This window comes from Homo sapiens, chromosome 20 (genome assembly GCF_000001405.40).
Source record: "Homo sapiens chromosome 20, GRCh38.p14 Primary Assembly".
NCBI lineage: Eukaryota > Metazoa > Chordata > Mammalia > Primates > Hominidae > Homo > Homo sapiens.
In genome coordinates this window covers 25475858-25500394 of record NC_000020.11, presented here as the reverse complement: position 1 = coordinate 25500394, position 24537 = coordinate 25475858, and the positions used below count along the sequence as shown (strand labels likewise).

Below are 24537 nucleotides of genomic sequence, written 5' to 3'. Positions count from 1 at the left end.
CACTTACCCCAGGCCCTTCCCACCATGGGCCAGGTGTCAGGAGGTGCACCCTTCCCTCCGTGTTCTGCTGGGGCTGCCTGGGAGGGAAGATGTGGTCCTTGCATGGGACACAGCTCCTTACAGGCTCAGGCTTCCCAGAGGGATGCAGGCCAGCCCTGGAGATTTGGAAGGAGCTCTGCCCTGGGCACAATTTGGCAACAACTGTGCAGGGGCAGAGGTGTGCAGGGGCCCAGCATGGATGATGGAAGACAGCCTCACGAGGTGCAGTGAACTCAACTGAACAAAAACCTATTAAATAAGAAAGAAAGCCTACCTGCCCCCCTCTCCCTATTCCCTGGAGGGGGCGACAGCTGTTGGTGTAGTGGGTGTACTGCAGAGCTTTTCCCTGGCACATGAGAGATGTATATATACATTCTGGCTAAATTTTTTTTTTTTTTTTTTTTTTTTTTGCGAAATTGGTGTCATACTGTTTGTCTTGCTAATTTGTGCGACCCTTCGCTTTTCCTATGATAAATCTGGGCATTTATAATGCAACGATGTCCTCTTGCTGCTGTGCCAGCATTTCTCTGAGGCTGGACTCCTGAAGTTGCACCCTGTAACTCTTGGAGGCTCTGTCATATTCCCTCAGAAAATGTCCTGTTGGCACAGATAGACAATACAGGAAGGAGCCCAGACAGCCCTTGAAACAGTCCACCCTACTCCACAGACCAAGACCCTCATTGGCGCAACCTCATCTGTTACCGAGTCCCCCAAGATGGCAAAGCCAGACCTGGACAGCTGGCCTCACAATTGTCCTGAGAGCCAGAGGCGGAGGCAGGATCACCAAAAATCGCTTGCAGGAAGGGCAGAGAGCACAAGTCTCTCGGTTCCAAGATGCCCGACACCTGACTCCACAGCCCTGGGGGTGCCCTGGCTGCTGCTGTGCGCTGGCTCTGATGAGTGCATGTTGCCTCTGCCCTTTCAGAACTTATTCTCTTTCCCATTTGCGCTAGAGCTGCTGGTGCTGCTCTGCAAAGACGCCCTGGGTGGCTTCTCCCTCGCTTCATGATAGATTATTGCCAAATTCTGCCTTGCAACTCAGTCAGCATTTCTGACCTCAGGCTGCTGTGGCGGTTCTGTCCCTCTACGCCATCCAGTGACGTGGTGGGGAGCGTGTGCTTGTGTAGGGACAGCTTTCCAGGCGGCTCCCCAGCCTCTCCCAAGATGCCATTGCTCCTCAGGAGCTGCTGGGAAGTGGGCAGTGTGGAAAGTCAGCCCCTACTTCACAGGAGACTCTGGGCCAGGCACGTCCTGGCACCTGCTTCAGCCGCCCTGCCATGGTGCCTGCCGCCGGCCTGAGCAGGGCGTTTGTAGCCACAAGTGGAAAGCAGAGCCAGGAATACCCAAGGCGGAAAAAGCAAACACGACAGAACGTTAGCTGCCGCTCCCTTGAGCTGAGGGTCTTAGGGTGTGTGTGACTCTATTTTTTGTTGTTTCAGTAAAATGCCGGCTGTTCTGTGCTTTGAAGTTTATTAGTGTATTCTTCACATTTCTGTGGGGAGGAACACCCCGCTCTGGAAAGCTTTTTGGCTTTAAGCCTGAGGGCTGCTGTGGGGACCCCCTCCATCTCTCCACGCTCTTCTTGGTGGCATGAGCTGCAGGTCAGGCCTCATCGCAGGGAATCCCAAGGCTCACATCCTTAAAATAGATTATTTCAGAGGGAAAAGGGCCTTGTGCCCTGGCCTCCACAGCAGTCCCCATGAAGGGCCTGCAGGGGACTTGCCCCTGCCTGTGTCTGACACTTTGTCCAGGAAGAGGGGTTCTGTCTAGCCTGGGCCTACGCACCCCTGAGGCAGAGGCAGGAGGACCAGGCCATTGACAGCCCACCAGAGTTGCGTGGGATGGAGGAGGAGCACCCCTCAAGACGCAGAGACCTTGGCAGACAGGAGGGGCAGGTGCTGCCTGGGACAGCCATGCTGGGCTAGGCCCTGGATCAGGGAGGGAGCAAAGAGGTGTCTGCTTGGGGAAGTCCCTCAGCCTCTCCTGCTTACCAGGCTTGCTGCTTCCAGAGCCTGGACTTCAGCGTGGACGAGAAGGTGAACCTTCTGGAGCTGACCTGGGCCCTTGACAACGAGCTCATGACAGTGGACAGTGCCGTCCAGCAGGCAGCCCTGGCCTGCTACCACCAGGAGCTGAGCTACCAGCAGTAAGAGGCCACAGGGGACTGGGGAACGTGGCAGTGTGGCTGGCCAGGTGGGCCTGGAGGGGGGTCTGGGACACAAAGGACACCAGTCAGCTCTTATCCACCCCACATGGCCAGTCCTGGGGCAGGGCTCTGCACACTGTCTGTCCCGTGCTCTCTGGCCCCTCAAGCCGGCGCTCGCAGAGGGACAGGAGCAGAATCTAGCCACGGAGCATGGACAGGTGAATGGCAGCCGCTCATCCGTGTTTCTGGGCTGGGTGGGGCCTGAGGACCTGTGCCGTCTGAGTCTACACAATTTAAGGCTCGCTGGCTTTCCTCCCACTTGTTGAGGTGCTTGGGATCTGTATGTTGGGGGCCCCCACTGAGCCCTTTTCATTGAGGTTTCGAAGGGACAGACATGAGGTCCCCCCTCATGCTGGTGCAGGCGCTTGCCAGCGCCAGGTGGGGTCCTGCCGCTGCCTCTCGCGCCAGGGGGCTCCCAGGCTGGGCTGTCAGCAGGAGGAAGGAAAGGCGCTTTTCAAACGTGGTCACAAAATGCCCCGTGACGTTGGGCTGAGAACCCATTCCCTTTTAATTGTGTCTGTTTGGTTTGGCTGACCATTCAGGCCATCCGTCTGCTAAGCAGATTTGCAAAAAGATTGTCGTGGTGTTTTTGTCAATGTTCTGAAGCTGCAGAAAAGATTGGCAGAAACCACAATCTCAATCCTAAAGACTGCATCTGTCCAGGTGCAGACAGCGGAGCCGCCTCTGGCCTCAGGCAGCTCTGCAGATAGAACTGGAGAAAGGCTTGCCCAGGTCCCTCCCCTGGCCTTGGGACAGGGAGGGAGAAAAGCTCCTTTCGTGGGGAAACAGTCACTGGAATAGCAGGTGCCACCAATGATTTACACAGTGCCTCAGCTGGGTCAGGGTGGCCAGGCAGAGCTGAGACCACATACAACCACTGCGTTGTGCTCTGGTGACTCACTGTGTGCTCACTAGCGTGCTGGGATGCCCATGCAGGGCTAACAGGTGGCCATCCTCCCCGCCACATGCCCGTTACTGAATTAGGTACTTGCGATCCACGCCCAGCTGCCGATGAGAGGGCTCACAAACCAACTCCCACATGCCCTGGGGCTGCATAAGTGATATGGCATGCTGTGGGACTCCAGGCTCAGTCTTCCTGGGTTAGAAACCACCTAGAAACTTTCCTTGCCAAGTCACGTGGCCCCTCTCTCTCAGTGTACACATCTATAAAATGAGCATAGCAGTTGTAGAAACTGCCTTAGGAGCAGGCTGGTGGAGCAGTGCCCGCTGTATAGTTGGTGTGCTAGTTTCTATCATTGATGCAGATATGGGGCCCAGAGCCACCTGGCATGGCGGGTCAGGCCAGCAGTGGGGTCCCATCTGACCCTGTCTCCTTCCTGTGGCAGAGGGCAGGTGGAGCAGCTGGCAAGGGAGCGTGACAAGGCAAGGCAGGACCTGGAGAGGGCCGAGAAGAGGAACCTGGAGTTTGTGAAAGAGATGGACGACTGCCACTCCACCCTGGAGCAGCTCACGGAGAAGAAAATCAAGTGGGTTCTGGGCCCAGGTGGTGGATTCTTACCTGGGCCTCCCCAGCCCCTTTGAGGGCAGGTAGTGGACACAGGGCTGCCAGGGGCCAGAGCTGCGGGTGTGGCTCAGTGGAGACCCCCCTATTTCACCTGAGTCAGGGGGAATCCAGGGGGCACAGCCTTGAGAAAGCAGCAGAGCCCTGCTCTTCCTGGGGTTGGTGCAGTGCCTGGCCCTGGCTACGTCCCCATGGGCCGAGGAGGTCCTGCCTCCTGCCCTCGCTTTGCTGGGCTCTTCTCACATAAGCCAAGCCTTTCGGCCCCTAGCTGCGTGCCTGTGATGCAAGAGGCAGGTGGCTATGTTGCAAGGACTGGCAATGGTTTCCTTTTGGCCCAGCAGGTAGAAGGAGCCCAGAGAAGGAACCCAACTCCAGGTATCACAGCTGTAGTGACCCCGATGCGGGGACAGTTGTGTGGAACAGTGGCTGGATAGACCAGAGAAAAGGATTTCTGATTTGTTTTTATTTTTGTTTTTGTTTTTGAGATGGAGTCTCCCTCTGTATCCCAGGCTGGAGTGCAGTGGTGCCATCTTGGCTCACTGCAACCTCCGCCTCCCAGGTTCAAGCAATTCTCCTGCATCAGCCTCCCAAGTAGCAGGGATTAAACAGGCGCCTGCCACCACACCCAGCTAATTTTTGTATTTTTAGTAGAGATGGGGTGTCACCATTTTGGCCAGGATGACCAACTCCTGACTTCAAGTAATCCACCCCCATCAGCCTCCCAAAGTGCTGGGAATACAGGTGTGAGCCACCACGCCTGGCCTTAGATTTCCGATTTGTTTTGTTTAAGGATACAACCACCGCACTGGTTCACAAACAGAACATCTGAGGAAATTCCGCCCAAGAGGGTGTCCCAGGCTCAGGCAGGGAGAGGGGCTTCTCTACGTCATTGGTGGGGCACATGTCTGCCTGGGCTGAGCTGCTGTTTTTCACCTGAAGTTTGCGCATGCCTGGAGGGTCCTCCGGGGTAGCTCAGGACAGGCTTTCCTGGCTCTGAGTCACAGCTCTTGGGCAGGGGCAGCAAGACATGGCTGGCCTCCCTGCCATTCTCCCTTGTCAGTGGGTCCTCTGCTGGCTCGGGAGGTCTGCCCGAGGCTGCAGTCCTGGCCCTGTTGTCCCCACGCCCTTGGGTTCTTGGTCTGCAGGTCGGCCCACCCTCTGCATTGCACAACACAGACACAGCACTCGCTGCCATGGTCCTGGTGGTGGTGGCTCAGCTGAGCGTGGCTAGCAAAGAAGAGCTATGCGCGATGGAGCCACGTGGTGTGGCACCCTCCAGGGATGCGGGCGGTTTGCTTGGGGTGCTGCGGAGTCCCCAGGGTGAGCCTGCAGATGGGAGCCTGGCTGCTGGCCACATCGCATGTTGGAATTGTGCCAGCTGCACTGCGGGCTGAAGCCTGAAGCTGCTGCTCCTTTACCAAAGAAGCCCTGAGCATCTTTGTCGTGAACCTGGGGCTCCAGGGGTTGAGGGGCTACTGATGGGTCCGTGGCCTCTGGAGAAGTGAGTTTGGTTGGTGAAGACAGCTGTGGTGTGTCTCCTGTGTGCACCAGGGGTCGCCTCACGTAACAGCCACTGGGACCAAATAGGCCATTTATCCCCATTGTTCAGCCAAACAAACTGAGTCCTGGAGCAGCTCAGTAACTGGCCCAGTCCCGCAGCAGTGAGCGTGCGTGTGTGAAGCTGACACCCAGGTCTCCCTTCTCCTGGCCTTACACTGTTTCTGGGTCAGCCGAAGGCCACTGGTCAGCTTTCTGGGGAGCAAGAGCCTCAGGTGGGAGAAGCATGAGGGCAGAGCCCAGCCACTCTCCTTCAGGCCTTCCAGAGCCAGGCACAGTCCGGGGCCAGCTCTAAGGCCAGTGGGCGCCCCCCATCTCCATAACCCATGTCCTCAGGGTTTCCACGGATCTGTGCTGGGCAGAAGGGGGTCCCCGCTGCACCTCCTGCAGCCGCCACCTCCACATGGTTCAGTCCATAGGGGGTGGCTGGGACAGGGCGGGGCCTCACCCCGCCTCTGTTCGCCTGCACCTCCCAAGTGCCCTTTCCTTCCAGGGCTGGCTGGGGACGGCTGTACACAGCAGGTCCAGATCTACATGTGCCTCTACATGGTGTGGGGAGTTAGTGTGAGTGCATGGGGCCTGTGGAGTGCAAGGGCATGTGGGATGCAATGAGGGTGCTGTGAGCGTTCATGGGACCTCAGGTATGTGGGGTACAGCGGTGGTGCAGTACGTGTACATGGGGCCCATGGGGTGCCATGTGGGTGCTGTGAGTGTATGTGGGACTCATGTGGTGCCATGTCAGTGCTTTGAGCATGCTTGGGGCCTGTAGGGTGCAGTGGGGGTGCTGTGAGTGTTCCGGGACTAGAGGGGTGCAGTGGAAAGTGCTGTGTGCATGTATGGGGCCTGTGGGGTGCATTGGGGGTGCTGAGTGGGGTTGCTGAGTGTGCGTGGGGCCTGTGTGGTGCTATGTGGGTGCTGTGAGTGTGTGTGGGGCCTGTGGGGTGTAGTGGGGGTACTGTGTGCATGGGACCCATGGGGTGCAGTGGGGGGTGCTGTGTACATGCATGGGGCCTGTGCGGCCTGTGGGCCCCCTGGAGTGTACGTTCTTGGTGCCACTGGCTCCTGTGGCTGTGGTGGTGGTGGGAAGCCCCTGTGGGACTGTGGTCATTTTCAGGGAAGCTAAAAGTCAAGTCTCCTTTAACCAAACATGAGGAGGTGTCTGGTGAGGCGAAAAGCCAGGTACAGGGACAGGTGCAGGCAGTGGCTGGGGCCCTTGCCCTCCACATGGAGGTGCTGGGCCAGGCCTCAAGGCCCGAGTTCCCTGCCCTGAGCCTGGAAGGCATTTTGTTAGGAAGCGGTATCCCTGCTCCTGTGGGCAGGGAGGGTCTCTGTGGTCTCCGTCAGCTGAACTATTCTGGGCCAGCCTTGTAGCGTTATCATTCCCACCTGGCTGGGGAATTCCTAGAGGAGGGACCAAAAGATGCCCCCCGGCCCCTGGGGGAGGTGACCTTGACTTTGTTGCTTAAGACGTTCTCATAGCTCCCTGCCTTCCGGAGCGCACATGAGGCCAGCTTGGATCTCCAGAGGAGACAATTGCTAACATTTAGGAGCTGAAAGTATGTCAGGGAGACCCACGGGGAGCTCCAGGAACTCATTTCCTCTCCCTGGACGCCCCCTCCTTTCTCCTGACGGCTCTGTTGTAAGCTCGGTTCGTCCACCTCTCACTTTCATCCTGAGTATCGGGATCCACCTATCCCTGTTGGTGCCACAGGGATCTTGGTGCTGCCTCTCAGGACCTGAGGGGCTGGGTTCTGACCTCCAGCGACTTCGTTCTCCCGAGCACAGCCTCATCCCAGCCTTGGGGTTAGCAGGGCCCCTAGACAAGAGTGCTCCTTGTGAGACACTTGTGTTCAAAGCTGGAAGTAAGTTGACTCATACTCAGTTTGAGTAACTGAGAACTGATTTGCTTCTGTCCACACGTGTATACCTTGATTCTCTCCCAGCCATTTGGAAAGACTTGTGTGAATTGTCTTTCCCAGGGTTAGAGGATTGGAAACACTCTGTCCTGGAACCTGGTGGAGGGATGCATTCGAGGTGCTAAGCTGCAGCCTCAGAACCCACGTGGCCCTGAGAGCTTGGGTTTTGTCCCATGAGCAATGGGAGTTATGAGTAGGTTTCTGTAAGTAGCTTTTATTATTGCATTAGGTTTTCCTTATTATAAATGTAATGAGTGATACATGTTTATTGCACACATTTTAGAAAGTACAATTAAAGGAAAAATAAAACCAGAAATCTCACTTTCCCGGGGGTATCACTCTTTACATTGCCTATATATCTTTCACCTTTTTTTTCTATGCACATAATTCTTAAAAAAATGATACCATGTTGTGGCCGGGTGTGGTGGCTCACACCTGTAATCCCAGCACTTTGGGAGGCAGATCACGAGGTCAGGAGATTGAGACCATCCTGGCTAACATGGTGAAACCCCGTCTCTACTAAAAAATACAAAAAATTAGCCGGGCATGGTGGTGGGTGCCTGTAGTCCCAGCTACTCGGGAGGCTGAGGCAGGAGAATGGTGTGAACCTGGGAGGCAGAGTTTGCAGTGAGCTGAGATCCCGCCACTGCACTCCAGCCTGGGCGACAGAGCAAGACTCTGTCTCCAAAAAAAAAAATGACACCATGTTGCATATGCTTTTCTGATGGCCACAGAGCATCTCACCTGGGTCTTTGTGTGGATCTGCCATAATTTATTTAACCATTTCCCTATTTTTGTATATTTCAAAAGTTTTTAAAGAGTAGGCTGATAGGAAATATGTAGCTTTAACACTACCCCAAAAGATTTATGGAGTATTAAATTAGTCAGATTATTGTACTTCCTTCATACTCTTCCCTTTTGAGTGTTGTTTCTTTAAAGTTCTAAGCCAAGATTAAAAGCCCGGGCTCTGGGGCTTAGGTGTCTCGGACTTGGTTATGGGCGTCACCAGGCTTCTGCAGAAGTAGGAGCCTCGCTGGTCTTCAGTCTGGGTAGACGTGGTTTGAGAATTCCAGTGAAGCTGCTGTTTCAGAAAGAGATGAGACTGAGCGTTGAACACTGTTTTTCCTGCTAATGGAAACAGTTATTGTAAAAGATGAATGTAGCAGCTGAGAAAAAAATATCCCCCACCTCTTCCTCAGATTGCTTTGGGAATTCACTGTCCATGGGTTTCATGCTGCCTCCCTCCTTGGGAGGGAGGTGATTTTCATGTGCATTTGGTATCGAAAGTCTTTATCAAAGGGCTGTTACCTGCCATGCACACCGGGTGGAGGGGCCACCTTGGGACTCACCCCAGGGAGCTGTGCTCCTCGCTGTGAGGGGGCAGCTGGTGGCATTTGCCATGTGACCCACCAGATCCCCTTGTCTGGGGTCACCTCCAGCAGCCTGTGAGGGAGGAGCACCCACCCTCAGATTTGCCTCCCAGCATGGGCAGCTCAGCCAAGGCAGGGCGGCCCTGCACGTGCTGAGGACAGGGGCGTTTCTAAGAGGGAGGAGGCTAGGAAGGGGGTGGCGTGGGCCTGGGCAGCCCTGACATGACATGTCTGACGTGTGATGTGTGACATGTTACAGGCATCTGGAGCAGGGGTACCGGGAAAGGCTGAGCCTCCTGCGGTCTGAGGTGGAGGCGGAGCGAGAGCTGTTCTGGGAGCAGGCCCACAGGCAGAGGGCCGCGCTGGAGTGGGACGTGGGGCGCCTGCAGGCTGAGGAGGCTGGCCTCCGCGAGAAGCTGACCCTGGCCCTGAAGGTAGGGGCATCCCCAGGGCATCCAGGAAGCTGGGGGGGTGCCTGAGCATTCCCCACACCCACGTCATCCTGGTTGAGGATCCAGATCCACACCTGCCAGTGCCCTCAAGCTTATGTTTCAGGGCAGGGCCCGAGGGAGCACCTGCTGCAGTGAGGAGGTGTCCCACTTGCTGCAGAGCAGAAGGGGTCCTGGCTTGCCAGCAGGACATTGCCCCTCCTTCCCCACCACTCCCACTTTCTGCTCTGGGCCAGGTGGACCTGAGGTCAGGGAGGGCCAGCACCCGCAGCCAGCACTGCTTCAACCCCAGAAACCAGGAACACCCATGGGGGCAGCAAAGAGACCAGAACCTAAAGCCCAGCCTGCCCGAGGCTGGCTTTGTGGCCTGGAGCTGATGGGGTTTGATGGGCTTTGGTGAGTGTCTCACAACTGTCCCCTGATACTGACTCCAGTGAGGCATCGCAGCGGGACAGAGGTGCTGGCCCTTGCTGTGCTGGTCCCTGCTCTGCTCCTGCCTGTGTCCTCCTCTCCTAACTCCCCACACCTGCCCCACCTCCCGGGAGGAGAGGCTGGGCAGCCTGAGCCCCCCAACAGCCTTGCTCTCCACCCTTCTCACTGCAGTCCCCCACCGTCTACAGATGCTGCCTCCTCCCCTGGCAATGGCTGTCTGAGCTGTCCTGGTACGATATCTGATCCCTGGTTCAGGAATGGCTCTGGAAGGATGCCTTTTCTATAATACTTTTGCAATGCTTTTGTATTCCCCACCCTTTCTTTTTTTTTTTTTTTTTTTCCTTGAGATGGAGTCTCGCTCTGTCGCCCAGGCTAGAGTGCAGTGGCATGATCTCCACTCACTGCAAGCCCCGCCTCCCAGGTTCCCACCATTCTCCTGCCTCAGCCTCCTGAGTAGCTGGAACTACAGGCTCCCGCCACCACGCCTGGCTAATTTTTTGTATTTTTAGTAGAGATGGGGTTTCACCATGTTAGCCAGGATGGTCTTGATCTCCTGACCTTGTGATCCGCCCGCCTCGGCCTCCCAAAGTGCTGGGATTACAGGCGTGAGCCACCGTGCCCGGCTCTCCACCCTTTCTCGTATGACTCATGGCCTTTCTGAGCACAGGGTAAGGGAGGGGACAAGAGAAGTGAAGACGATGGGGTAGCCACAGTCTGGGTGGGCTCTGGCGTCTGTCCTGGGAGGGTGGGGGACATCCCCGGCACAGCCGCCTGCACAGCACCAGGTGCCTCGCCTGCGGTGGGTGGGGGTTCTTTCCTGATGCCCAGTCCTATGAGAAGCAAGCCTCTCACCTCCATCCTGCACACATCCCCTCCGTCCTGCAGGAGCCTGATGAGCCACTGGCCTGTGTCTCCTAGGAAAACAGTCGCCTACAGAAGGAGATTGTGGAAGTGGTGGAAAAGCTTTCGGATTCGGAGAGGCTGGCCCTGAAGCTGCAGAAGGACCTGGAGTTTGTGCTGAAGGACAAGGCGAGTCCCTTTGCTGACAGTCTGCCTCCAGAGGGGAGGGCCTGCTGGGCAGAGTGGGGGTGGCGGGGGTGGCCAGGGAGAGATGCGGCAGGTCACAGAATGCGGTATTCTCCTAAAATTTAGAATGAAGAGAAAGTCAGCATGAGGCCTTCCCTCTGCTTCCTCTGCATGACAATGTGGGGGGCCGTCTGCCCACACAGCACAACTGCTCACTAGTGACAGCCCTCAGTGGTGGGGGGCGTGGAGGGAGGGCAGGGCCTTCCCTGGGTGTCACCTAGGGAGGAGGATGGGGAGAGGGGCTGCCCAGGGTCAGGGTCTGGGCTCCAGGGATGAGTGTGGCCACCTTAGATCTAAGTCTGGAAAATCCTTCTGTCTTGTGACCTTCTAGACGGGGGAGTAAGGAGAAGGAGGGGGGATGGCGGCTATACCTGGAGATGCAGCGCCTGGTGTTGGCAGAAGCTGGGCAGGTTCTTGGAGCCCAGGGGCTGGAGAAGCAGGTCCCCCTCTGGCCCGAGGCCCACCCGTGACTTCCTTTGTGTCTGCCTTTCAGCTGGAGCCACAGAGTGCAGAGCTCCTGGCCCAGGAGGAGCGGTTCGCAGCAGTCCTGAAGGAATACGAGCTCAAGTGCCGGGTACGTGCCTGCTCTGTCTGCCTTTTAGTCTCATGTCCAGGCTCTGGGTCTCCACACGCAGGTGGTCCACAGTAACGCAGGAGTGTCTGCTCCAGGGAGAGCCTCTGCTTGCGGCCATGCTTGACCATGGCCTTGCCACACTCCTAGACTTAGGGTTCCCTGGCTCTCGTTGCCACCTATCCTGAAGGCCGCCTCTGTGTGTCCAGGGACCATGCAGGGCATTGTTGTCTTCTGTTGTTCATGTTTAGCTTTCCTGGGCCAAACCTGCCATGCGTGTCCGTCTGTCAGTTGGAGACATAGGAGTGCAGGGCGCAGTGGACGCAGTGAATGAAACTTAAACCCAGGAGGACCCCCGTACACGCTTAATGTTCTCAAGGACCCCAAAGAGCTTTTGTTGATGTAGGTTATATGGATTAAATTTAATATTTACCATGGTAAAAATTAAAGTGGAAATTTTTTAAATTTATTAATTTATTTAAGAATAATAATGTAATAACAGGTTAACATAAATAGCCTATTTTGGGGAACATAGCTGTTTTCCAAAAGAAATAAAAACTAGCCAGGAATGTGCCGTGGTGTTGCATTCTCGCCAGCCTCCTCACTGGCTGGCCAAACAGAGGACGGGATGCTCAAACCTGCTGCTGCGTCAGTCCATCATGATATCACATGACACAGAGCATCTGGAACTGCCACGTGCCCCGAAAGAGAATGAGTGAAGGAGGCCGGGTGCGGTGGCTCACACCTGTAATCCCAGCACTTTGGGAGGCCGAGGCGGGTGGATCATGCGGTCAGGAGTTCAAGACCAGCCTGGCCAAGATGGTGAAACCCCATCTCTACTAAAAATACAAAAATCAGCTGGGTGTGGTGCTGCACGCCTGTAGTCCCAGCTACTCAGGAAGCTGAGGCAGGAGAATCACTTGAACCCAAGCGGCGGAGGTTGCAGTGAGCCGAGATCGCACCACTGTACTCCAGCCTGGGCCACAGAGCGAGACTCCATCCCTCCCCAAAAAAAGAGAATGAGCGCAAGGAAGTCACTTCACACCTCGGCGTGCCACACATTCACCTGCCCCGCTGGGCCACATGTGGGCTGCTGGGAGGCCTGGATGCCCACCCTCACAGCCTGTGTTTCTGGTGCTGTATGACACAGAGTGATTGATTGTTCAGGTTCAGAGCCTGCGGTTGGACCACCACCCTCCTTGGCACATTTTAAATGCAAGCTGCCAGGTTCTGGGGCATTGCAAAGCCTCCATTTCTTCCCCTCCCTGCTCACCTGAGCACGCAGAGACCGTGGAATGTTTTAAAGCTCGGGTGTTTCTCTAGATCTGCAAGAGTGGTTCTGTGAGGAAAGCCTGGTTCCAGTGCCTTGAAGGCCGCCTTGCAGACGAGCTGATGGCTGGCCCAGCCAGCTCCCCATGGTCTCACCCCACCCTGCTCTGGCCCGCAGAAGAAATTCTGTGCGGAAGAAAATTCTGTGTAGAAGAAAACAAACTAGAGTTGAGTTGGGTCGATTATTAACAATACAGAAAAGTTACTTTATCTCTAAGGTCGTTCACCACATGGTTCTTTCATAGGCAGCTCCTGGTTAGGTTTTAATTTACCAAAAGTTAATTTATGTAAAACTTGTACAGAAACATTTTTTTCACCATCAAAAACCCCAGTCCTTGACCCACCTGCCCCTCTTACATCCTGGCATACAGAGGGTTAGGTCCAAACAAGTTGTAACAATAGACACTGAACCCAGCCAAGCTGTCAGCATCAGGAACGGCTGGGCATGTTATGACTGTTATTCTAACAGAACCCTGTATAGGCTTGAAAATAACATGGAAGTGGATGATTTTAGGCATGGAATTCTTTCCAGGCAGCATTGCCAGGTGAACAGATAAGTCATATGCATCCACAAATAACAGCCATTTAAGACCCTGTATAATCCCCCCACCCAGCAAAAATGAGAAAAAAACCTAAAGATATCAGTAGAGCTTGCTTACTGTTCACTCATTCATTTCTCCTGCAAGTTAGCTTTAATAATAATTTTAATAAAAATTTTCAAGTTGGGCAACCATAGTTTATAGCTATATGAACGGGTGATGATCTGAAACTGACTTAATTTTACCCGGTGGATAATCTTTAGTTACCTTGGGTGGTGATGCCACAGCACAACTGGTTTTAGTTACAGCTCATTCTTTCCGTGTGTGAATCTTAAGGCCACATCACCCTGTGCTGAAAATCTGTGATTGTTTCTGGGGATACTGTGATGGTCATTGTTAAGTGAGCAATCGATGTGAAGTAATTTCACAGGATTTGAAATTTGAGCAGGTATTATAGGGAAAATATGTGTCTGTTAAGCTGGTAATTCATGGGCTGCCCTATAGCCAGAGAACCAGATAAAGCATTGTTGTTCGATTTTAAGGGTCTATTCTCGATTCACTCTGAATGATTTCCCTCCCATGTAAAGTGACCCTGACTTTGTCCCTGCCGCACGTTGCTTTGCAACCCCAGAGGATCGAGGTGAGCCCAAGCTTGTGTTCTCAGTGGCTGTGATTACCCCTTCCTGTCTGTGGTTTGCCTCCATCTGGGCACCCTGCCGTTGTTCCCTGCACGTCTCATTCTCCTTTTGAAATCCTATGTGTGATGAGCGGTGTCGCCTTCCTTCTGCCTCGACTGGTGTGTGTGGGGTGGGTGGGGCCTGCCATGCGGATGGGGTCCAGATGGTGTGCTGCTAGGACTGCAGCTGCATGTGGGCTGCTGGCTTCCTCCTCTGGTAGCTGCTGGAGCAGACTCAGAACCTAGAGATAACCTTCCATTAATAGATTCCTTTAGTGCCCTGGATTTTTCAAATTTAAAACCCTTCTTTCTTTAACATGATTCTGTTACTTAAAGACATGCTATTCTTTTCATCTGGGGTTCTTTCAATTTTATTTTTTGAAACAGCAGAGATATTTTATATTTAAATGCTAACCTATTTATTCAGATATTTCCCCTTTCCTTTTTTTGGATTTTTTTGTCTGTTTCAAGCTAACATTTAGAATATTTAAAAACTTTTTATATGAAAACAATTTCAAACTTTCATAGTTACAAACAAAACTAGTGCACAGAGCACGTGTCTGTGTACCCTTTACCCACATGCAACTGTTCACATTTCACCCTGTTGCCTCTGCCTTAGCATACCTGCTCACTGGCTGTGTTGGTGTGGATGTGAACGTGTAGACATTGTTATTTCTGAACCACAGCCTCAATCCAAAGGAAACATCAGCAAACCACAACATGAGACCATTTCTATGAAAAATGGGCAGGAACAACAGTGTTCTTCAAAATTATCAATGTCATAAAAGACAAAGAAAGACTGTGGGAATGTTTCAGAGTCAAGGATGTTAAAGGAACAGGACAACTGAAGGCAGCACCTGGCCCTGGACAGAACACTGTAGAATCCACTGAGAAAAGGAGAAAATTCTGTGATCTTCATGACATCCAAGTTTTATTTACTATACCTTCTAAAGCCTAGTTCATAATAGATTTTTACAATAATAACATTTGATTTAATAAAAATTAAGACCCACTGATCAAAAGACACAAATGGGAGTAAATGTTTGTGATTATGTATTTATCTGATAAAAGACTTGGATCCAGAATATATAAAAACTCTCTCCAAATATGAATACATAACCTAATAAGAAAAAGGTGTATAAGTACCCATAAAGATGCTAAACAACATGATTTAGCATCCGAGGGTCATATATGCACATCCTGACCCTTCACGGCCCAGTGCTTGTGTGCACTTCCTAAGAAACACTTCCTCCCGTTCTGCTGGCAGTGCTGTGCAGCTTCCTGCTCCTGCAGGTGATCATGCAGAGTTCAAGGATTTGCAGATTGCTTATTAAGCCTTTGATAGGCTTCAAATTGATACAGGCTTTAAACCACAGAAATTTGTAAAAGCCACAAGCGAGGGCTTTTATTTCCTGGAGAGTAAGTTTCCCAGCACCTGACTGAATGAGAATATTTTCTCATGACTGAGGCATGCTTGATGAACTGCCATCGAAGCAACATGTTACCTGCTGGCCGAGTTCTGCTTCCCTCAGTGCATCTACCCAGGGCCAGATTGTTTCTTTAATATCCTTTATTCTGACTCATTTCCTTTCTTTGTCTTTATGACATTGATATTTTTGAGGAATGTTGTCCTCCTCGCTTTTTCATAGCAACGTTCCCGTTTTGTGTGTTTCTGATGTTTCCTGTTCACAGCACTGAGGCTGTGCATCCTCAGCTGGCACAGCACATGGGTGATGTTGTGCCCCGCTCGCTGGTGTTGCTTCTGATCTCCCAACCGAGGTGTCGCCTGGTTTCTCTGCTCGGTAATCACCATTTTTTCTCCCCTGCAACTATTAATATTACACAGTCAGTGGAAAGACACTTTAAGACCATGCAAATATACTGCCTTCATCAGAATCTTCCCTGGATTTAGCATCACTGGTGATTCTTGCCTGATTCAGTCTTTACTATGATGGTTGCAAAATGATTTTCCTGCTTAGCAGCCCCTCCACATCTGTCCATGCCATTGGCATTCTACTCAAGCTAGAGAAATCCTGTCCGTCCAGATCTAGCCATACATGTACCAATCACTGGTATGGACTCATGAATTCCCATTTCCTCCCTATGGTTTTTAATTATTTTCGTGCCCAAATTGTGCAAGATTTGGCAAGTGAGAGTCCTCGGCTGCTTGCTGTGCCGCGGCATGCCCCGCAGTGTTGGCTGCTGCCTTGTTTTGTCAAATGTTTCCACACTTGCTGGCATAATGAGATGCCCCAGCACCTGCCCACAATCTGCCATTTCTCCAAGGAGTCTTGGTTCCTTTCCTGAGGGAATGGTTTTAGAGACAGGATCTGGGTGCCTGGCATGCTGCTCGCTCCTAGGGGTCGCTGTGTCTTGACTGAGGGCATCTTTCTGGTCGGTCTCCAGATTCCAGAAGGATCACCCTGAGCCCTCCCCACTGTATGTCACCTGATCTCTGCAAACTCACTTTTGGGGTTTCTTTGTATTTTGTAACAAGGATATTGGTGTTTTTAAAAACTTTTTTTCTTTCAACTTTTATTTTAGATTTGGGGGTACCTGTGCAGGTTTGTTACCTGGGTATATTGCATGATGTGCCGTGTGGGCTGGGGCCTCCCTTCTCCATCTGGGCCTCTCCACGTGGCCTCTGCAGGGCTACTTTGGGCTTCATCACAGCATGGTGGCGGCAGCTGCCCCAGAGCAAATGTCCCAGCAGAAGTGGGTGGATGTCGTGTTCCTGGAAGTCCCGTGGCATCACTTCTGCTGTCTCCTAGGTCGAAGCAGTCACAAGTCCCACTCAGGCTGCAGGGCTGGGGACCGAGGCCCCAGCCACGTGTGAATGGGGAAGCATGCACAGCCTGGTTTATGTCTGCTTCCTGAAGGTCTGCAGGACCCTGGGAGGTGTCTAAGAAAGTGGGCTAGAAACTCTGCCCTTCCTGTCCCTTTAAAGAGCAAGTGACTGAGCATACTGGTTAGGACGTAGTTCATTAAAGTGGGAGCACAATTAAGCTGGCCACAAATGCAGATGCCTCCCCTGAAGCTTCCACCCACCCTGCCATGGTGTCCTAGCCTTCCCGCCGCCCACGCGGCCTCCACCTGCTCCAGTGTCTCCTTACCAACATCATCCTTTCTTTCTGACATGTTCTCTGCTTTGCAGCATATGATCTGAAGCAAATGGTTTCCTCTTTGGTAGTTAAAGCTGCAGAACCCTTTGCAAATTCAGTGGCCGCTGAGGAAGGAATCCTATCCTTACCCAGGGCACTGCCTGACATGCACATTGCAGCACCACTGCAGTTCCAACAAAGACTGTAGTTTCTGGTGGTGACAGTATTCTGCATTTTCTTTTCTTTTCTTTTCTTTTTTTTTTTTTGTTGAGACAGAGTCTTGTTCTGTCACCAGGCTGGAGTGGAGTGGCACAATCTCGGCTCACTGCAACCTCTGCCTCCTGGGTTCAAGCGATTCTCCTGCCTCAGCCTCCTGAGTAGCTGGGATTACAGGTGCCCACCACCACGCCTGGCTAGTTTTTGTATTTTTAGTAGAGACCGGGGTTTCGCCATGTTGGCCAGGATGGTCTCGATCTCTTGACCTCGTGATCTGCCCACCTCAGCCTCCCAAAGTGCTGGGATTACAGGCATGAGCCACCACACCTGGCCTCTTTTCTTTATTTATTTTTTTCTTGAGATGGAGTTTGCTCTTTTTGCTCAGGCTGGAGTGCAATGAATGGCATGATCTTGGCTCACTGCAATCTCTGCCTCCTGGGTTCAAGCGACTCTCCTGCCTCAGCCTCCCAAGTAGCTGAGATTACAGGCGCATGCCACCATGCCCGGCTAATTTTTGTATTTTTAGTAGAGATGGAGTTTCACCATGTTGACCAGGCTGGTCTCAAACTCCTGACCTCAGGTGATCTGCTCATCTGGGCCTCCCAGAATGTTGGGATTACAGGCGTGAGCCACCATGCCCGGCCATACTCTGCATTTTCTACATTTCTCCCCAGGAGCTGCCTCACTTTTTTCTTTGAGCCCCTCCCATATAACAGTGATAGAAAGTGATGTAAGGGCCAGGCATGGTGGCTCACGCCTGTAACCCCAGCACTTTGGGAGGCTGAGATGGGTATATCACTTGAGGCCAGGAGTTCGAGACCAGCCTGGCCAACATGGTGAAACCCCATCTCTACTAAAAATAGAAAAATAAATAAATTAATTAACCAGGCGTAGTGGCGCACACCTGTAATCCCAGCTACTTGGGAGGCAGAGGCAGGAGAATCACTTGAACCTGGGAGAAGGAGGCTGAAGTGAGCTGAGATTGCACCAGTGCACTCCAGCCTGGGCAAGAGAGCAAGATTCTGTCTCTAAATAAATAAAATACAGTAAAAATAAAAGTTTTTAAAAGTGAGAAAGTCAAGAAAGGACCTTTGTTTTGGCTTATCTCACCATGATGTTAGCGACTTAAAATCCAGATGGTTTCCTGCTGGAAGCTGGGAAGCAACAGGCCCTCACCTCACAGTGCACCTCACCTGCAAGGGACCCCCCTGGAGGCCAGCTCGGCCAGCTCGCTGGGCTGAATGGCTGCAGCTGCTAGAGGAGGTGGCTGGCTCTGTCCCCACAGGACCTGCAGGACCGCAACGATGAGCTGCAAGCTGAGCTGGAAGGCCTGTGGGCGCGGCTGCCCAAGAACCGGCACAGCCCCTCATGGAGCCCGGATGGGCGCAGACGGCAGCTCCCTGGACTCGGCCCAGCAGGTAGGAGCCCGTCCCTGGGAGGGGGCTGACCCAAGGCCTGCTGTTGACAACAAGGCCCAGAGCCAGGAAAAGAGAGTGGAGATGATGAAGATGATGATGTTGCTGTGACCTGAAGGGAGGTGGTCTGCTCTGCAGGGACTTTCCAAGGAGGATCCAGGGATGCCACAGGGTGACCTTGCAACACGGAAGGTCACCTGCAGAGGGAGGAGGAAGGGACGCTGAAGGTGGGCAGCCCCAGGGCTGGCCCAGGCTGTTCCCACATCTCAGAGCTGTTTCAGTGACACGGTACTTGCTGAGACTGAGAAGAGCTAAATCCCGGAGAATGCATTGGGGCCTCCCAGTACTCAGGCCTGTTCAGACAGAGGCTGTCGGGGCTTACCCTTGCTGCTTCTGGGTGATGTGGTAGCTGGCACCACCCCCCAAGTCTGACTGAGGCAGGGAGGCACCAAGCACTAAGGGAGCGGCCCCACCTGGCCAACTGCCCCTGTGCTCGCAGCCAATGGGATTAGGACAAGCTCCAAGGACCCAGGGTCCCCGGAACCCACATCGAAGTGTCTCTGGCTCCTCTGCAGAGAGAATGGGGGTCCAGGTGCTGCAGCCGCCCTTGAGGTCTGTGGTGCTCCCTTTGGAGGATGGGGTGGCCTCTGCCCACTCAATAGCAGCATACAATGCACATGGCTCCGTGTCCACTGCTGTGACAGGGGCCCATGGGGACCCAGCAGCCCCACCTGCTCCCCTCGCTCCCCCGTCATGGCAACCTCAGCCCCTCAGAGAAGATTTTGCTGCCATCTGTAACCCCGGGAGAACTTCAGAGTTCTCCTGTTGCCCTGAAACTGTTTACTCAATGAAATAAAAAAAAATAGGCCAATATGGGAACCTCATAGGGGAGCCTAGTCGGGGCTTTTGTGCATGTGAGACTGACCTCCTGGGACCCCTAAGGCACCCCCTCCCCTGCTGGCTCCTGGATTGGAGTCAGGCTCCTGAGGCGCCACCCCAACAGCTGGCAGACTCTCAGGAAGCTGCAGGGAGGTGCAAGACCCCACCGGCCACCCATCCCAGAAACGCACATATCCAGGATTGCCTGCACCCAGGGTGGTGCCTGTGGGTCCGTAGCCCCATTGACGTCCCACCTGGATGCCGCTGGCTGTCACACCTCCCTGCCCGTCAGTCTCAGAGCGCTAATTCCAGCAGGGGTTAGTGTGCCAGAACTGCCTCTCAGAACTTGGCATCGTTTATGTGATGAAATAATAATGTAGGGCCACCAAGGAAAGGTTATCTAAATAGATAGATAACCTCCGTGCACACAGCTGTGGTCATCGGCACATCATCTAAAGCTCTGCACCACCGGGCATCTGCTGTGCCACAGGCCATTATGTCCTTCCATTTCCTCCGTGACCCTGGCATCTTCAGGGAACAGGATTTAGGGTGCAGTAAATGTACCATAGCACAGCATATTTTAGGGACTAAAGGGGCTCCTGTGAATCATGTGGGGAGCCACCTAGTCTCATCTCTGAGTGTTCTGATAAATAACGGAATGCTATGTACTGACGAGTGCTGACTTTAAGGACGCAGCGTCATCCTCACAGCCAGCACCACCTGCCCCTCATGGATGCCAATGCCAAAATATCAGATTGGAAGGTTTGGAAGGGGCCCCCGTGGCATCCTCAGTGTGACAAACGGAAGTGGCCTCTTGTTTGCAGGCATTTCATTCCTGGGTAATTCTGCTCCAGTGAGTATAGAAACGGAGCTGATGATGGAGCAGGTAAAGGAGCATTACCAAGACCTCAGGACCCAGCTGGAGACCAAGGTGAGGGGATTATGGGGCTGTGGGGCCCTGGGGGAGTAGCTGCTGTGTGTTGGGCAGCTTTACTTGGGCACGCTGACATTTCCACATGCGTCTGCCCTGGAATCCTTTGTCTCATTGTGAGCCCCTTTGGGGAGGAAAGTTTGTAGAGAAATGCAATAAAACTGACATGCTGCCCAAACCCTCTTTGGAAGGACACAGGACATAGGATGACTGATGGGGAGGGAATGGTGTGATACTCTGGAGTGTCACAAGGGGATACTTGAGGCAGCGCAGCGCCGTGGCCAGCCCTCCTTGCTGGTCTGTGGGTGGGAATCAGTTACTGGCTGTGCTCCAAGCCTGAGCGACCTGGCATTTGCCCCCTGGGTAGCTCAGTGGCTTTGAGGCCAGGGCCACCCTGGATGAAACTGTCAGGATGAACTTAGCCCTGTTCTGTTCCTAGACTGTGGTGGCTTTTGAGGGACAGTGTCCATGACTTGTTGTGTGTCCAGTTCCTCCGTCAGGGTACCAGCTAGGTGGAGCTGCCTGTGGCCATGCCCTGGGGATCCCTGAAGGATTAACTGGAAGCTCCGGCGAGCCCTGCCCACCCATAGTTGAATGGTATTCCTTCCACTGAGGGCCTCCACGCTGTTCAGAGCCACCCCGAGGTCCTGTAAAGATTCCACCCTCTGCGTCCCTTGCAGTGCTTGGCCAAATGCTCCAGTGAGCCCCGAGCTTCCTGCCTGTCTTGCCTGCCGCCCTGCCTCAGGGGGGATAGGTGACTCACACCTCACTAGGCCCTGGGGAGCACCACCAACATTCATGTCACTGTCCCCTTCTGCACACCCTGGCACCTCGGCAGGCCAGGATGCCGGTCTTTGCACGTTGTGCCAGGCAGCTTCGTGTTTCTGTGTTACGTCAGCAGCAAGATCATTCTTAGGGTCTCCTGGTCCACGGGGCTCATGTTTCTCGTTTTAGGTAAATTACTACGAAAGGGAAATTGCGGCACTGAAAAGGAACTTTGAGAAGGAGAGGAAGGACATGGAGCAGGCTCGCAGGCGCGAGGTCAGCGTGCTGGAGGGTCAGAAGGCCGACCTGGAGGAGCTCCACGAGAAGTCTCAGGAGGTCATCTGGGGCCTGCAGGAGCAGCTGCAGGACACAGCCCGCGGCCCCGAGCCTGAGCAGATGGGCCTGGCACCCTGCTGCACCCAGGCACTGTGTGGCCTGGCCCTGCGGCATCACAGCCACCTGCAGCAGATCAGGTCCAGCCAGCTTCTTTTGAGATTTCAAGTCTGGGGTTTCTTGCCAAGAACCAAAATTTGAAATTAGACTTAGGAAACAACTCAGAATTGCTGTGCCTCCCGACTGGGTGGTTTTCCTCTGGGCAGATGGGTGAGTGCCAAAAGAACAGGTCCTGGCATGAGGATTCTGGCTCTGAATTTAAAATATACATTGGATCATGGGCCATGAAGCTGTTCACTGTGTAGAAACAGCCCAGTGTTCTGTACCCTCTGCCTCAGCCGTGCCCGGCAGCAACATTGCCTCCATCGCTCAGAGACACCCGCTTCTCCAGGGCCAGGCAGGGTAGCATGTGGGGAGATGGAGAAAGGCCTGAAGCCCTGAACAATGGGAAAGATGGCCAGCTGGGGTTAGTGAGGTTCCCAAAAAGGCTCAAGTGTGCAAGCGAGAGAGAAGGCTTACAGAAAGCCTGTGCTGGTGTTTTATGTGTTCTGGTGTGAGGTACATGTGAAGTGACCACGTCTGTTCTTGTTGGGGGCATCTGAGGTAGGAGAGGAAGTGCCTGGTCATCGCAGACAGGCTGCTGCTCAGCTGGCACCCACTGTCCTGTGGAGAGCATTGGCCCCGGCTTAGAAGAGGACGGGCCCTCCCACCACACTGGCCAGGCCACCCCCAGCCTGACAGAAAGTCATCTTTCCGGCCGGATGCGGTGGCTCACACCTGTAATCAGCACTTTGGGAGGCCAAGGCGGGTAAATCACTTGAGCTCAGGAGTTCGAGACCAGCCTGGCCAACATGGTGAAACCCTGTCTCTACTAAAAACACAAAAAATTAGCTGAGCATGGTAGCAGGCGCCTGTAATCCCAGCTACTCGGGAAGCTGAGGCAGGAGAATCACTTGAATTCAGGAGGCGGAGGTTGCAGTGAGCCGAGATCTCGCCATTGCACTCCAGCCTGAGCCACAAAGTGAGACTCGTCTAAAAAAAAAAAAAAGTGAGACTCGTCTCAAAAAAAAAAAAAAGTCGTCTGTCCATCCTGTGCCTCCCCAGGCTTTCAGCTATTTCCCCTTAAAGCCAAGAGCGTGTGGTAAGAGATTGGGTCAGAGTCCCTGCAGACCCCAGTGGGAACAGAGGGGCAGGCACAAGCAGCCCCTCTCCTCTCAGCATCCAGGCCCTTGTGCACCTGGCCCCCACCCGGAGCTGTCTCTAGCAGCCTGCTCCTGGGGAGCTGCTGTCCCCGCTCTGCAGGGCTCCCGATCTGCCAATGCTTGGAGGTGGAGGCCCTCCAACCACTTCCTTGCTCCCCTTGCCCTGGCCAGGCATGGACCACATACCCCTTCTGGTGCTGTGGTCTTGCCAGCTCTCACTTCACTTCCACTGGACTCTCCTGCGGGCCACCAGAGGTCCCAAGGCCCAGCAGCTTCAGGGAATTAGGGGACAGTTTTGGCTCTGGGTCTCCAGCGCTATCGTGTAGAACCCACTGCAGTGTGGGCCACGTCGTATGTCTGCCCTGTCCAGTTGGGAGCCTTGAGGGCTTGGAACGTGGCCTGCACGGCCGAGGGGCTGCAACCAGGTCCTGCATGGTGGCGGCCATCTTCCATGTGAACACTCCACATGGAAAGGGTTCGTGCTTGGGCTTCCATGTGCAGAACCTCGCTCCGTGGGGCGGATCCTCGTCTGGACTCTGAAGTAGGGCCCAGGGTATAGGTTGAAGCCAGGGCTGAGGGAGGCGAGGAGGGATAAAGAAAGCCAACCACAGAGAGGAGGTCGCAGCCGTTGCAACAGCTGGGCAGACTTCAAACCCGAGAGAGGGGCTGGGGGCGGCAGGGCTGTGGTGTGTGACGGTTCTACTTCCACAGGAGAGAGGCTGAGGCGGAGCTGAGTGGAGAGCTGTCGGGGCTGGGAGCCCTGCCCGCTCGCAGAGACCTGACCTTGGAGCTGGAGGAGCCGCCGCAGGGACCCCTGCCACGCGGGAGCCAGAGGTCGGAGCAGCTGGAGCTGGAGAGGGCACTGAAGCTGCAGCCCTGTGCGAGCGAGAAGCGCGCCCAGATGTGCGTATCGTTGGCCCTCGAGGAGGAGGAGTTGGAGCTTGCCCGCGGGAAGCGAGTGGACGGGCCCTCCCTGGAAGCAGAGATGCAGGCCCTGCCGAAAGATGGGCTGGTGGCAGGAAGTGGCCAGGAGGGCACACGTGGCCTCCTACCACTGCGTCCGGGCTGTGGGGAGCGGCCACTGGCCTGGCTGGCCCCAGGTGATGGCAGAGAGTCTGAGGAGGCGGCAGGAGCCGGGCCTCGCCGCAGGCAAGCCCAGGACACAGAAGCTACGCAGAGCCCGGCCCCCGCCCCTGCCCCGGCATCCCACGGCCCCTCAGAGAGGTGGTCACGCATGCAGCCCTGTGGAGTGGATGGGGATATTGTCCCAAAGGAGCCAGAGCCTTTCGGCGCGAGCGCAGCGGGGCTGGAGCAGCCTGGAGCCCGGGAGCTGCCTCTGCTGGGAACAGAGAGAGACGCCTCGCAAACCCAGCCACGGATGTGGGAGCCACCCCTGAGGCCGGCCGCTTCGTGCAGGGGACAGGCTGAGAGGCTACAGGCCATTCAGGAAGAGCGAGCACGAAGCTGGAGCAGGGGCACCCAGGAGCAGGCCTCGGAGCAGCAGGCCCGGGCCGAGGGCGCCCTGGAGCCTGGGTGTCACAAGCACAGTGTGGAGGTTGCCAGGAGAGGGTCCTTGCCATCCCACCTCCAGCTCGCAGACCCGCAGGGTTCCTGGCAGGAGCAGCTTGCTGCCCCAGAAGAGGGGGAGACCAAAATAGCGCTGGAGAGAGAGAAGGATGACATGGAAACCAAACTTCTACATCTGGAAGACGTCGTCCGGGCTCTGGAGAAACATGTAGATTTGAGAGAGAACGACAGGTTTGCCTTCTACTCATTCTTAAAACTAAACACTTCAAACTAAAAATGCAGAACTAACCCACTGACCCCTGTTGCTAATGGTGCTATGTGGCCCTTCCTGCCGACAAGCTCGCAGCCCCTGATGGGGGCTGTGTAGCCCTTCAGCCTGAGTAGGGGTTGTGAGCCCAGCCCCGTCCCGGAATGCC

At 54.3% G+C, this 24537-nt stretch overlaps 1 protein-coding gene across 31 annotated transcripts in view, besides 1 other annotated feature; it reads left to right on the top strand.

Annotated features, from left to right (window-relative positions):
• Nucleotides 1-24537, top strand: part of NINL (ninein like) — a 132835-nt gene that overhangs the window by 85137 nt on the left and 23161 nt on the right. For 8 of the 31 annotated variants that reach the window (XR_007067445.1, NM_025176.6, XM_047440022.1 and 5 more), the window contains 9 exons: nucleotides 2049-2185; nucleotides 3592-3732; nucleotides 8870-9044; nucleotides 10410-10520; nucleotides 11071-11151; nucleotides 18295-18427; nucleotides 20128-20234; nucleotides 21189-21472; nucleotides 23306-24352. Coding sequence is in view for 29 of the 31 variants with exons in the window: in NM_025176.6 (NP_079452.3) it covers nucleotides 2049-2185; nucleotides 3592-3732; nucleotides 8870-9044; nucleotides 10410-10520; nucleotides 11071-11151; nucleotides 18295-18427; nucleotides 20128-20234; nucleotides 21189-21472; nucleotides 23306-24352 (2216 nt within the window). In the remaining 2 variants the exon portion in view is untranslated. The other 23 variants (XM_047440021.1, XM_047440020.1, XM_011529187.3 and 20 more) reach the window with 12 other exon arrangements.
• Nucleotides 23070-23570: an enhancer, noted in NCBI's record as "H3K27ac-H3K4me1 hESC enhancer chr20:25457461-25457961 (GRCh37/hg19 assembly coordinates)". NCBI's record gives its function as "activates a minimal SCP1, AML or CMV promoter by ChIP-STARR-seq in primed H9 embryonic stem cells {active_cell/tissue: H9 hESC(primed)}" and the evidence as "EXISTENCE:reporter gene assay evidence [ECO:0000049][PMID:30033119]".